Source organism: Homo sapiens, chromosome 19 (assembly GCF_000001405.40).
Source record: "Homo sapiens chromosome 19, GRCh38.p14 Primary Assembly".
Taxonomy (NCBI): Eukaryota; Metazoa; Chordata; class Mammalia; order Primates; family Hominidae; genus Homo; species Homo sapiens.
In genome coordinates, this window is record NC_000019.10 from 41689131 (window position 1) to 41704168 (window position 15038).

Genomic DNA, 15038 nt, shown 5'->3' on the forward strand with positions numbered 1-15038 from the left:
TCCAGGGGAATTACAGCTGACCTTCGAACACACAGATTTGAACACACAGGTCCACTTACATGTCGATGTTTTTTTGTTTGTTTGTTTGTTTGTTTGATTTTTGTTTTTTGTTTTTTGTTTGTTTGTTTTTTGCTTTTTTTTTTTTCCTGAGACAGAGTCTCACTCTGTTGCCCATGCTAGAGTGCAGTGGCACGATCTCAGCTCACTACAACCTCCACCTCCCGGGTTCAAGTGATTCTCCTGCCTCAGCCTCCCAAGTAGCTGGGACTATAGGCACCCGCCACCACGCCTGGTTAATTTTTGTATTTTTAGTAGAGGCGGGGTTTCACCATGTTGGCCAGGCTGGTCTCAGACTCCTGACTTCAAATGATCCACCCACCTCAGCCTCCCAAAGTGCTGAGATTACAAGCATGAGCTGCCATGCCCAGCCACATGCAGATGTTTTAAATTAAAAGTTGCACTGAGTGTGTCCCCTCCTCTTGCCTCCCCTCCACCTCTTCTACCTCTGCCATCTCTGAGACAGCAAGACCACCCTCTCCTTTCCTCCTCCTCAGCCTACTTAACCTGGAGACAAAAAAAGGATAAAAGCCTTTATGATGATCCACTGTCACTTAATGAATAGTAAATATGTTTTATCTTCCTTATGATTTTCATAGTAACATTTTATTTTCCCCAGCTTATGTTATTGTAAGAGTACAGTATATAATATAAATAAACATGCAAAATACATTGATTTACCGTTTATGTTAACAATAAGGCTTCTGGTCAAGAGTAGGGTTTTAGTGGTTCAATTGTTGGGAAGCCAAAAGTTATACAAAGATTTTCTACGGGGTCCTCAGCACCCTTAACCCCTGCCTTATTCGAGAATCAACTGCAATTTCCTGAGTGTTCTCTGTGTGCGATGTGCACCCCTGGAAGGCAAGAGATCTGTGGTCAAAGTCAGGGGCTGTTCCAGGGATGTTGACGAGGGTCCACATGGTGTGACCTCCAAGCTACAGGATCAGGTCACCCCAGGTCCTGCTCATGGAGAGTCCCAGGCTGCCCAACTCCATGCAGTGCAGGATGAGCTCAAGGAGAGGACAGGAGTTGTCCAGAGAACAGCAAATCAAGATTTGGAGAACTGTCCACCAGGGGGATAGGCTGCCTCAGAAGGAGCCACCTGTCCCCAAGGTTTCAAAGGTAGGACCCAGAGAGGTGTCTCTGGGGGCTTCAGAGAGAGGACACCAGCCTAGGAGGTGGTCCCCAGAGAGCCCTGTGTTCCTCCATCACAGCACTGGGGGTGCTGCCTCCAGGTCATCTGTGTCCCTGTCTGTCGTCTGCTCCAGGCCTCCTGGCAGGACCCAGGAGCTGGGGCATTTCCCACCTGGATACTCAGGCAGGGGTTTCCTGGTTCCTCTGTTATGGGAGGGGGAGGCCCTATGACCCTTAGCCTCTCTGAGATGGAAACAAAGGCAGATCCTGGGTTATCCTGTCCTCCTGCAGGGGAAGTTCCCCTGGGTCCCCAGGTCTCCTTGGGCTGGTTAGAGGTCTCCAGAGACCACAGCCAGGAGCCCCCATCTCCAGGGACCCTCGGGGGTGGGGTGTCATCACCCAACTTCCTTGTGATCAGGTCCCCTGGTGGTCACTCCATCTGGGATGGAGGATCCAGAGTCTGCAGCAGGTCAGGTGTCTTTGTGAGAAGAGGAAGGACATAGGCTGCTGGCCCAGGCCCCCTGGGAGTCGTGACATGACTCACAAGTCAGAGACGGGGAAGGGGTGTCACTGTTCTGGGATGAGTCAGATTCTGACCCCCCTCTCTTAGAAGGCCCTGTCCTCCCTCTTGAAGCTCTGAGGGTTCAGGCCCTGTCCCTGGGGCAGCCTTGGGCACTTGTTGGCCTCCTCCCATGCTGGCACCAGTGCCTCTGTGTCCACAAAGAACAGACCCTGACTCCGGGGGTCACACAGAGGTGATGTGCTTCTGTTGTGTGACCGCCCACGCATTTAACCAGTATTTGTTGAGCATCTGTTGTATGTCAGACACTGGACTGGGCCCTGGGATTCCACAAAAAGCAGGACAGACGTGGCCCCTGTGCTCATGGAGTTTCCCTGTAACAGGGAGACAGGTGCTCAGTGAACATCATGGGACTGAAGAGCTAATGCTAATGAGAGAAGGGCTGTGAATGTGCTCTGAGGATCACAGGGAGCTGCCCTAGGAGATGCCTTTCGGCTGAGCCCCAGGGAGGAGGCGATGTGGGGGCAGGAGCTGCCCGCAGAAGTTGTGACTTGGTGGACGGCCACTGGACTGCAAGGAGGAGCTGACAGAGTGCGTCTGGGGAGCTTGGAGGGCGAGGAGGAGGTGGGTCGAGGTGATCCTGGTGAGGGTATACCCTGGGGGACTCTAGTCCAGCTGAAGGACGTCAGCGGACGCTGGGGAGGTGCCAGGCCGGGAGGGACTCTGCTGCCCTCTGGGGGACAATGAGGAAAGTGTAGACGGAAAAATCAGGATAGGTTTAACTCAACGTGATCATTAAGCATTGATCACGTTTGCTTGACGCTTTAAATTCTAGATATCTCTCACGCAAGCTCTTCTCTACTCTACCCCCAGCGAATCATCAAAATTAGATTGTGGTCTTATGTCAGGTCAAGTTCTGTGTGCACTTAGAGGGATCCCACACAGTATTCACACTTGAGGGCCGGCTGGAGCATGTGTGGGTAGAAGGGAGGATTCGTGTCCGTGTATCCTCACAAGAGCCAGGGTGTCTGGGTGGATAAGGCTCCACTTGACCCCAAAAGTCCTCAGAACAAGGGAGCAGAGCCTGATGAAATCAGAATCCAGGGGTGGGGCTGGGGCTCTGTGCCTCCTCCTCCTCCCTTCCTCTCTCTCTCTGGGGAGTTCGCCCTCCTCTCCCTCAGCAGAATTCTTGGGCCTCCTCATATGAAGAAACGTGATGGGCCCTTACAGACCCACCCAGAGATTTTTAGCAGAGACATCAGGTTTCAGTGTCAGGAGCACCAGTCACCCCTCAGGCCTCCCCAGACCCCTCCTCAGAGACAGATATAAATATATCTGTATATACCTTCAGTGTGTTAGTATCTTTATGAATAAGTAGAGTTTCTTGCAAGCAGCATATGCTTGGATCATGTTTTTTTATCTGTTTCATATTTTTAATCTGTTTCACCAATCTGTATCTTTTAAGTGGAGCATTTAATCCATTTACATTTAAGGTTCATATTGACATGTGAGGTTTTCTTCCTGTCATAATGATAATTGTCAGCTAGTTACTTTGTAGCTTGTTTCTTTTTTTAGTTTATGGACTTTTCTTTTCTGTTTGGAACTCCTTCGAGCATTTCTTAAATTCCCTCAGAATTTGCTTCTGGGAAAGACTTTATTTCTCCATTTTGAAGCTTATTCTTGCAGGATAAAAAATTCAAAGTTGATGTTTATTGTTGTTTTTTTCTTTAAGTACTTTGAAAATAGATTCTCAATCCCTTCTGGCTTGTAGGGATTCTGCAGAGAAGTCTACTGCTAGTCTGATGGGGTTTCCTTTATAGGAGATTAAACACTTTTCTCTTGCTGATTTTAGGATTTTTTCCTTCATGTTGACCTTAGACAGCCTGATAACTATAGTTGCGGTGAGGTCCTTCTTGCAATGTATCTGCCTGGTTCTATTTAAGCCTTTTCTATCTGAATGCCTAGATGTCTTGCTAGACTAGCTAAGTTTTCCTCAATAATTTCCTCAAATAGGTTGACCAAACTTTACAGTTTTTCTTCTCCCTCAGAAATACCTATAATTCCTAGGTTTGGATGTTTTACTTAGCCCCATGCCTCTCAAAGGTTTTGTTCCTTTGTAAATGTTTTTTCTTTATTTTTCTCTGACTGGATTAATTATAAAGACCTGTCTTCAAGTTCTGAGATTCTTTCTTCTGCTTGATCTGGTCTGTTGTTAAAGCTTTCAACTGCATTTTGTAATTCCTTCAATTTTTTTTTTATTTTCAGAAGTTCCATTTGTTTGTTTGTTTAATATCTATCTTTCTGGTAAATTTCTCATTCATATCCTGAATTGATTTTCTGATTTCTTTGCATTAGTTTTCATATTTATCTTGGATCTAATGGAGCTTCTAGAAAATCAATATTTTGAATCCTTTATCTGGTATCTTAAAGATTTTATTTTCATTAGAATCTATTGCTGGATAGTTAGTGTGATCTTTTTGGGGTGTTATCCTATTTTTTTATGCTTCCAGAATTGTTACACTGGTTCCTTCTCATTTGTAGAAACTGTCACTTCTTTTTATTTTTGAATTTACTTTTGATGGAACTTTTTTCTTGAAATTGCAATTATATTGCATGTTGAGTAGGGTCAATTGGCTTTCCTTCTGGGTGCTTTCAATGGCAGACACTCTATATGAATTCTTTGGTTATAGATAGCCTTAGTGTGGTGGCTTTTTCAAATGCCAGTGACTGTAGCAGTGCGTCAGGTATGTGAGCAAACTCATGGCCTCCTGCAGAACTAGAGTGGCAGAGATCTCAAGAACCTTATCTTTAAAAAAATTAATAATAATAATAATAATAATAAAAGAAACTTATCTTGTTCCCAAGTTCCATGCACTTGATTGTCAAGTTTTGCACTGGGTTTAGAAGATCAGCCTCCAAGCCATTAGGTGTCATTTGAAGGTAAAGAGCCAGCTGCAGGCCAGGCTCAGTGGTTCACACCTGTAATCCCAACACTTTGGGAGGCCAAGGTGAGCAGATCACCTGAGGTCAGGTTCGAGGCCAGCCTGGCCAACATGGTGAAACCCCATCTCTACTAAAAATACAAAAATTAGCCAGATGTGGTGGTCCGTGCCTGTGATCCCAGCTACTCGGGAGGCTGAAACAGGAGAATTGCTTGAACCCAGGAGACAGAGGTTGCAATGAGCTGAGATCACACCATTGCACTCCAGCCTGGGCAACAAAAGTGAAACTCCATCTCACAAAAAAAAGAGAGAGAGAGAGAGCCAACTGCAGTACTGCAGTGATAGCAGTGGGGCTTATGCTTTGTTTACCAGAAGAAGCTTTTTAGTGCTTTAGACAGTGAGCTGGTCTGTCTAACCCAAGTGACCTGGGCTCCATACTCAGCCCCAGAAGTGAAGGGTGAAGCTGGGTGGAGCCAAACCAGGCAAGCCTACCCTCAGGGCTCCCAGTGGCCTGAGAACCATTGGACCCAGGACCCATTACTTCTAGGGTAAGGAAGGTACAAACACCAGATCCAACCATGGTCTGGGGGGACAGCTGTCAAATGCCTAAAAATATACCTGGGAGAGGAGCAGGCAAACTATCACTGCCCCAGGTTCTCTGAACAGAAACAGAGGGGCAACCCAAAGTCCAAATCCAGGTGAGCAGGTGCACCAAATGCCCAGAGATATGACGAGGCAAGAAGTGAAGGAACCACCCCTGCATCAAATGTTTTGCATGGGAAGGAGAAGGGGGTTGCTCATGTTCCCAATCCAGGAGAATGCATTTGGGATCTGCCTTCTTCTCACTCCTTGGTTAGCAAGACTAAGCAACCAGGACTCTGGATTTGGGGAAAGACGTTTATTTGTGGAGGCCAGTGATGACAATCCCACGAGGGCCTAGGTGAAGAGGGCAGGAAGGCTCGAGACACTGGGGACTGAGTGAAAACCACACCCATGATCTGCACCACCCATGGATGCTCCTTCATTGCTCACCTTTCTGTTGATATCAGATGGCCCCATTTTCTGTACCTTCACAGAAGGACACAGGCTAGGGTCTGTGCATGGCCTTCATCCCCGGGGCCATGTGAGGACAGCAGGTGGGAAAGATCATGGGTCCTCCTGGGTCCTGCAGGGCCAGAACATTCATCACCCATACTGACCTCCTAGATGGGAATGGCTTCCCTGGGGCTGGGCCAACGGGGCCTGGGCAGGGGAGAAAGGACGTCAGGGGACAGGGAGGAAGGGTCATCGAGACCCAGCCTGGAAGGTTCTTGTCTCTGACCATCCAGGATTTACTTCCCTGCATCTACCTTTGGTCATTTTCCCTCAGCAATGACCAGCTCTGCTTCCTGATCTCAGCCTCCCACCCTGGACACAGCACCCCAGTCCCTGGCCCGGCTGCATCCACCCAATACCCTGATAACCCAGGACCCATTACTTCTAGGGTAAGGAGGGTCCAGGAGACAGAAGCTGAGGAAAGGTCTGAAGAAGTCACATCTGTCCTGGCCAGAGGGGAAAAACCATCAGATGCTGAACCAGGAGAATGTTGACCCAGGAAAGGGACCGAGGACCCAAGAAAGGAGTCAGACCACCAGGGTTTGCCTGAGAGGAAGGATCAAGGCCCCGAGGGAAAGCAGGGCCGGCTGCATGTGCAGGACACTGGTGGGGCATATGTGTCTTAGATTCTCCCTGAATTCAGTGTCCCTGCCATGGCCAGACTCTCTACTCAGGCCTGGACATGCTGAAATAGGACAATGGCCTTGTCCTCTCTCCCCACCATTTGGCAAGAGACATAAAGGACATTCCAGGACATGGCTTCCTGGGAGGTCCAGGTTCTCTGTCTCACACCTCAGGGACTGTAGTTACTGCATCAGCCATGGTAGGTGCTGATCTCACCCAGCCTGTCCAGGCCCTTCCACTCTCCACTTTGTGACCATGTCCAGGACCACCCCTCAGATCCTGAGCCTGCAAATACCCCCTTGCTGGGTGGGTGGATTCAGTAAACAGTGAGCTCCTATCCAGCCCCCAGAGCCACCTCTGTCACCTTCCTGCTGGGCATCATCCCACCTTCACAAGCACTAAAGAGCATGGGGAGACCTGGCTAGCTGGGTTTCTGCATCACAAAGAAAATAATCCCCCAGGTTCGGATTCCCAGGGCTCTGTATGTGGAGCTGACAGACCTGAGGCCAGGAGATAGCAGAGGTCAGCCCTAGGGAGGGTGGGTCATCCACCCAGGGGACAGGGGTGCACCAGCCTTGCTACTGAAAGGGCCTCCCCAGGACAGCGCCATCAGCCCTGCCTGAGAGCTTTGCTAAACAGCAGTCAGAGGAGGCCATGGCAGTGGCTGAGCTCCTGCTCCAGGCCCCAACAGACCAGACCAACAGCACAATGCAGTCCTTCCCCAACGTCACAGGTCACCAAAGGGAAACTGAGGTGCTACCTAACCTTAGAGCCATCAGGGGAGATAACAGCCCAATTTCCCAAACAGGCCAGTTTCAATCCCATGACAATGACCTCTCTGCTCTCATTCTTCCCAAAATAGGACGCTGATTCTCCCCCATCATGGATTTCTCCCTTGTCCCGGGAGCCTTTTCTGCCCCCTATGATCTGGGCACTCCTGACACACACCTCCTCTCTGGTGACATATCAGGGTCCCTCACTGTCAAGCAGTCCAGAAAGGACAGAACCTTGGACAGCGCCCATCTCAGCTTCACCCTTCCTCCTTCACAGGGTTCAGGGCAAAGAATAAATGGCAGAGGCCAGTGAGCCCAGAGATGGTGACAGGCAGTGACCCAGGGGCAGATGCCTGGAGCAGGAGCTGGCGGGGCCACAGGGAGAAGGTGATGCAGGAAGGGAAACCCAGAAATGGGCAGGAAAGGAGGACACAGGCTCTGTGGGGCTGCAGCCCAGGGTTGGACTATGAGTGTGAAGCCATCTCAGCAAGTAAGGCCAGGTCCCATGAACAAGAGTGGGAGCACGTGGCTTCCTGCTCTGTATATGGGGTGGGGGATTCCATGCCCCATAGAACCAGATGGCCGGGGTTCAGATGGAGAAGGAGCAGGACAGGGGATCCCCAGGATAGGAGGACCCCAGTGTCCCCACCCAGGCAGGTGACTGATGAATGGGCATGCAGGGTCCTCCTGGGCTGGGCTCTCCCTTTGTCCCTCAGGATTCCTTGAAGGAACATCCGGAAGCCGACCACATCTACCTGGTGGGTTCTGGGGAGTCCATGTAAAGCCAGGAGCTTGTGTTGCTAGGAGGGGTCATGGCATGTGCTGGGGGCACCAAAGAGAGAAACCTGAGGGCAGGCAGGACCTGGTCTGAGGAGGCATGGGAGCCCAGATGGGGAGATGGATGTCAGGAAAGGCTGCCCCATCAGGGAGGGTGATAGCAATGGGGGGTCTGTGGGAGTGGGCACGTGGGATTCCCTGGGCTCTGCCAAGTTCCCTCCCATAGTCACAACCTGGGGACACTGCCCATGAAGGGGCGCCTTTGCCCAGCCAGATGCTGCTGGTTCTGCCCATCCACTACCCTCTCTGCTCCAGCCACTCTGGGTCTTTCTCCAGATGCCCTGGACAGCCCTGGCCTGGACCTGTCCCCTGAGAGGTGTTGGGAGAAGCTGAGTCTCTGGGGACACTCTCATCAGAGTCTGAAAGGCACATCAGGAAACATCCCTGGTCTCCAGGACTAGGCAATGAGGAAAGGGCCCCAGCTCCTCCCTTTGCCACTGAGAGGGTCGACCCTGGGTGGCCACAGTGACTTCTGCGTCTGTCCCAGTCACCCTGAAACCACAACAAAACCCCAGCCCCAGACCCTGCAGGTACAATACATGTGGGGACAGTCTGTACCCAGGGGAAGCCAGTTCTCTCTTCCTAGGAGACCGGGCCTCAGGGCTGTGCCCGGGGCAGGCGGGGGCAGCACGTGCCTGTCCTTGAGAACTCGGGACCTTAAGGGTCTCTGCTCTGTGAGGCACAGCAAGGATCCTTCTGTCCAGAGATGAAAGCAGCTCCTGCCCCTCCTCTGACCTCTTCCTCCTTCCCAAATCTCAACCAACAAATAGGTGTTTCAAATCTCATCATCAAATCTTCATCCATCCACATGAGAAAGCTTAAAACCCAATGGATTGACAACATCAAGAGTTGGAACAAGTGGACATGGAGATGTTACTTGTGGAAATTTAGATGTGTTCAGCTATCGGGCAGGAGAATCTGTGTCAAATTCCAGCATGGTTCAGAAGAATCAAAAAGTGTCACAGTCCAAATGTGCAACAGTGCAGGGGATAAAACTGTGGTGCATTCAAACTGAGGGATATTTTGGAACATGAGAAAGGAAGGGATTGCTGCTGCACAGAACATGGATGATCTCACACATAGAGTTGAAAGAAAGGAGTCAATCGCAGAATAGAAAATGATCACTAATTCCACCTCTATAAAGTTTCCAAGAGGAAAACCCAATTCTGCTGCTAGAGATCAGAATGGAGGTGACCTGTGCCTTGCAATGGCTGTGAGGGTCACGGGAGTGTCACTTAGTGCAGGCAATGTGCCGTATCTTAATCTGGGCAGGGCTTTCATGAGCACATAGGAATGCAGACATTACTGCTGTGTTCATTTTACTTCACCGGAAAAGAAGAATAAAATCAGCCGGGCGCGGTGGCTCACGCCTGTAATCCCAGCACTTTAGAAGGCTGAGGTGGGCAGATTACTTGAGGTCAGGAGTTCAAGACCACCCTGGCCAATATGGTGAAACCCCGGCTCTACTAAAAATACAAAAATTAGCTGGGCATGGTGGTGCGCGCCTGTAATCCCAGCTACTCGGGAGGCTGAGGCTGGACAATTGCTTGGACCCAGGAAGCAGAGGTTGCAGTGAGCCAAGATTGTGCCACTGCACTCCAGCTTGGGCAACAGAGCCAGACTCTGTAAAAAAAAAAAAAAAAAAAAAAAAAAAAAAAAAGAAAGAAAGAAAAAGAAAAGAAAGTATAAAATCTCTTTGGGTTAACAAAAAAAGATCCACAAAACAAACACCAGCTCTTATCAAACTTACACAACTCTGCCAGAGAACAGGAAACACAAATACTCATTAACTCACTTTTGTGGCAATAAAACCTTCATGTCAAAAGGAGACCAGGACACAATGAGGAAGTAAAACTGCAGGCCCTACTTGGGTGCAGAGAGGGAAAATCCACAAATAAAACATTACCAGAAGGAGCTAAGATTTACTGCATTGAGTTCATTCCCCAGGTATGCAAGGTGATTTTAACACCTGAAAATCAATCATTGCCTTTACTACATAGACAGATTAGCTAGAAAAAAATTACAACTAGCAGAACAGAAGCAATTTGGCCTTCCTAAAATTCCACATCATATCATCATGATGGAGACAGTGCAGACGCCAATGACAATAAAAAGAGGGACCTCCGTCACCCGGTAAACATGTCCACACAGCTCCAGCAAGCACCCGTCTTCCCAGTGAATCACTGTAACCTCCCCTTTAATCAGCCCCAGGCAAGGCTGCCTGCGATGGCCACACAGGCTCCAACCCGTGGGCCTCAACCTCCCGCAGAGGCTCTCCTTTGGCCACCCCATGGGGAGAGCATGAGGACAGGGCAGAGCCCTCTGATGCCCACACATGGCAGGAGCTGACGCCAGAGCCATGGGGGCTGGAGAGCAGAGCTGCTGGGGTCAGAGCTTCCTGAGGACACCCAGGCCTAAGGGAAGGCAGCTCCCTGGATGGGGGCAACCAGGCTCCGGGCTCCAACCTCAGAGCCCGCATGGGAGGAGCCAGCACTCTAGGCCTTTCCTAGGGTGACTCTGAGGGGACCCTGACACGACAGGATCGCTGAATGCACCCGAGATGAAGGGGCCACCACGGGACCCTGCTCTCGTGGCAGATCAGGAGAGAGTGGGACACCATGCCAGGCCCCCATGGCATGGCTGCGACTGACCCAGGCCACTCCCCTGCATGCATCAGCCTCGGTAAGTCACATGACCAAGCCCAGGACCAATGTGGAAGGAAGGAAACAGCATCCCCTTTAGTGATGGAACCCAAGGTCAGTGCAAAGAGAGGCCATGAGCAGTTAGGAAGGGTGGTCCAACCTACAGCACAAACCATCGTCTATCATAAGTAGAAGCCCTGCTCCATGACCCCTGCATTTAAATAAACGTTTGTTAAATGAGTCAAATTCCCTCACCATGAGAGCTCACCTGTGTGTAGGCCCATCACACACACAAACACACACACACACACACACACACACACACACAGGGAAAGTGCAGGATCCTGGACAGCACCAGGCAGGCTTCACAGGCAGAGCAAACAGCGTGAATGACCCATGCAGTGCCCTGGGCCCCATCAGCTCAGAGACCCTGTGAGGGCTGAGATGGGGCTAGGCAGGGGAGAGACTTAGAGAGGGTGGGGCCTCCAGGGAGGGGGCTGCAGGGAGCTGGGTACTGCCCTCCAGGGAGGGGGCTGCAGGGAGCTGGGTACTGCCCTCCAGGGAGGGGGCTGCAGGGAGCTGGGTACTGCCCTCCAGGGAGGGGGCTGCAGGGAGCTGGGTACTGCCCTCCAGGGAGGGGGCTGCAGGGAGCTGGGTACTGCCCTCCAGGGAGGCAGGAGCACTGTTCCCAACAGAGAGCACATCTTCCTGCAGCAGCTGCACAGACACAGGAGCCCCCATGACTGCCCTGGGCCAGGGTGTGGATTCCAAATTTCGTGCCCCATTGGGTGGGACGGAGGTTGACCGTGACATCCAAGGGGCATCTGTGATTCCAAACTTAAACTACTGTGCCTACAAAATAGGAAATAACCCTACTTTTTCTACTATCTCAAATTCCCTAAGCACAAGCTAGCACCCTTTAAATCAGGAAGTTCAGTCACTCCTGGGGTCCTCCCATGCCCCCAGTCTGACTTGCAGGTGCACAGGGTGGCTGACATCTGTCCTTGCTCCTCCTCTTGGCTCAACTGCCGCCCCTCCTGGGGGTGACTGATGGTCAGGACAAGGGATCCTAGAGCTGGCCCCATGATTGACAGGAAGGCAGGACTTGGCCTCCATTCTGAAGACTAGGGGTGTCAAGAGAGCTGGGCATCCCACAGAGCTGCACAAGATGACGCGGACAGAGGGTGACACAGGGCTCAGGGCTTCAGACGGGTCGGGAGGCTCAGCTGAGAGTTCAGGGACAGACCTGAGGAGCCTCAGTGGGAAAAGAAGCACTGAAGTGGGAAGTTCTGGAATGTTCTGGACAAGCCTGAGTGCTCTAAGGAAATGCTCCCACCCCGATGTAGCCTGCAGCACTGGACGGTCTGTGTACCTCCCCGCTGCCCATCCTCTCACAGCCCCCGCCTCTAGGGACACAACTCCTGCCCTAACGTGCATCTTTCCTGTCTCATTCCACACAAAAGGGCCTCTGGGGTCCCTGTTCTGCATTGCAAGGAGTGGAGGTCACGTTCCCACAGACCACCCAGCAACAGGGTCCTATGGAGGTGCGGTCAGGAGGATCACACGTCCCCCCATGCCCAGGGGACTGACTCTGGGGGTGATGGATTGGCCTGGAGGCCACTGGTCCCCTCTGTCCCTGAGGGGAACCTGCACCCTGGAGGCTGCCACATCCCTCCTGATTCTTTCAGCTGAGGGCCCTTCTTGAAATCCCAGGGAGGACTCAACCCCCACTGGGAAAGGCCCAGTGTGGACGGTTCCACAGCAGCCCAGCTAAGGCCCTTGGACACAGATCCTGAGTGAGAGAACCTTTAGGGACACAGGTGCACGGCCATGTCCCCAGTGCCCACACAGAGCAGGGGCATCTGGACCCTGAGTGTGTAGCTCCCGCGACTGAACCCAGCCCTTCCCCAATGACGTGACCCCTGGGGTGGCTCCAGGTCTCCAGTCCATGCCACCAAAATCTCCAGATTGAGGGTCCTCCCTTGAGTCCCTGATGCCTGTCCAGGAGCTGCCCCCTGAGCAAATCTAGAGTGCAGAGGGCTGGGATTGTGGCAGTAAAAGCAGCCACATTTGTCTCAGGAAGGAAAGGGAGGACATGAGCTCCAGGAAGGGCGATGGCGTCCTCTAGTGGGCGCCTCCTGTTAATGAGCAAAAAGGGGCCAGGAGAGTTGAGAGATCAGGGCTGGCCTTGGACTAAGGCTCAGATGGAGAGGACTGAGGTGCAAAGAGGGGGCTGAAGTAGGGGAGTGGTCGGGAGAGATGGGAGGAGCAGGTAAGGGGAAGCCCCAGGGAGGCCGGGGGAGGGTACAGCAGAGCTCTCCACTCCTCAGCATTGACATTTGGGGTGGTCGTGCTAGTGGGGTTCTGTAAGTTGTAGGGTGTTCAGCACCATCTGGGGACTCTACCCACTAAATGCCAGCAGGACTCCCTCCCCAAGCTCTAACAACCAACAATGTCTCCAGACTTTCCAAATGTCCCCTGGAGAGCAAAATTGCTTCTGGCAGAATCACTGATCTACGTCAGTCTCTAAAAGTGACTCATCAGCGAAATCCTTCACCTCTTGGGAGAAGAATCACAAGTGTGAGAGGGGTAGAAACTGCAGACTTCAAAATCTTTCCAAAAGAGTTTTACTTAATCAGCAGTTTGATGTCCCAGGAGAAGATACATTTAGAGTGTTTAGAGTTGATGCCACATGGCTGCCTGTACCTCACAGCAGGAGCAGAGTGGGTTTTCCAAGGGCCTGTAACCACAACTGGAATGACACTCACTGGGTTACATTACAAAGTGGAATGTGGGGAATTCTGTAGACTTTGGGAAGGGAAATGTATGACGTGAGCCCACAGCCTAAGGCAGTGGACAGTCCACTTTGAGGCTCTCACCATCTAGGAGACATCTCAGCCATGAACATAGCCACATCTGTCATTAGAAAACATGTTTTATTAAGAGGAAAAATCTAGGCTAGAAGTGCTTTATGCTCTTTTTTCTCTTTATGTTCAAATTCATATACTTTTAGATCATTCCTTAAAGAAGAATCTATCCCCCTAAGTAAATGTTATCACTGACTGGATAGTGTTGGTGTCTCACTCCCAACCCCTGTGTGGTGACAGTGCCCTGCTTCCCCAGCCCTGGGCCCTCTCTGATTCCTGAGAGCTTTGGGTGCTCCTTCATTAGGAGGAAGAGAGGAAGGGTGTTTTTAATATTCTCACCATTCACCCATCCACCTCTTAGACACTGGGAAGAATCAGTTGCCCACTCTTGGATTTGATCCTCGAATTAATGACCTCTATTTCTGTCCCTTGTCCATTTCAACAATGTGACAGGCCTAAGAGGTGCCTTCTCCATGTGATTTTTGAGGAGAAGGTTCTCAAGATAAGTTTTCTCACACCTCTTTGAATTACCTCCACCTGTGTCCCCATCACCATTACCAGCAGCATTTGGACCCTTTTTCTGTTAGTCAGATGCTTTCCACCTCTTGAGGGTGTATACTGTATGCTCTCTACACAGGAATATGCAGAGGAAATAGAAAAAGGGAAATCGCATTACTATTCAGAGAGAAGAAGACCTTTATGTGAATGAATGAGAGTCTAAAATCCTAAGAGAGCCCATATAAAATTATTACCAGTGCTAAAACTACAAAAGTTACACTAACAGTAAACTAGAATAATAAAACATGCATCACAGTTGCTGGTAAAGCTAAATCAGATATTTTTTTCTTAGAAAAAGCATTCCATGTGTGTTGCAGTGATGACAGGAGTGCCCTTCAGTCAATATGCTGCCTGTAATTTTTGTTCCCTGGCAGAATGTATTGTCTTTTCTCCCTTTAAATCTTAAATGCAAAACTAAAGGCAGCTCCTGGGCCCCCTCCCCAAAGTCAGCTGCCTGCAACCAGCCCCACGAAGAGCAGAGGCCTGAGCTTCCCTGGTCAAAATAGGGGGCTAGGGAGCTTAACCTTGCTCGATAAAGCTGTGTTCCTAGAATGTCGCTCCTGTTCCCAGGGGCACCAGCCTGGAGGGTGGTGAGCCTCACTGGTGGCCTGATGCTTACCTTGTGCCCTCACACCAGTGGTCACTGGAACCTTGAACACTTGGCTGTCGCCCGGATCTGCAGATGTCAAGAACTTCTGGAAGTCAAATTACTGCCCACTTCTCCAGGGCAGATACCTGTGAACATCCAAAACCATGCCACAGAACCCTGCCTGGGGTCTACAACACATATGGACTGTGAGCACCAAGTCCAGCCCTGAATCTGTGACCACCTGCCAAGATGCCCCTAACTGGGATCCACCAATCACTGCACATGGCAGGCAGCGAGGCTTGGAGGTGCTTCGCCACAAGGCAGCCCCAATTTGCTGGGAGTTTCTTGGCACCTGGTAGTGGTGAGGAGCCTTGGGACCCTCAGGATTACTCCCCTTAAG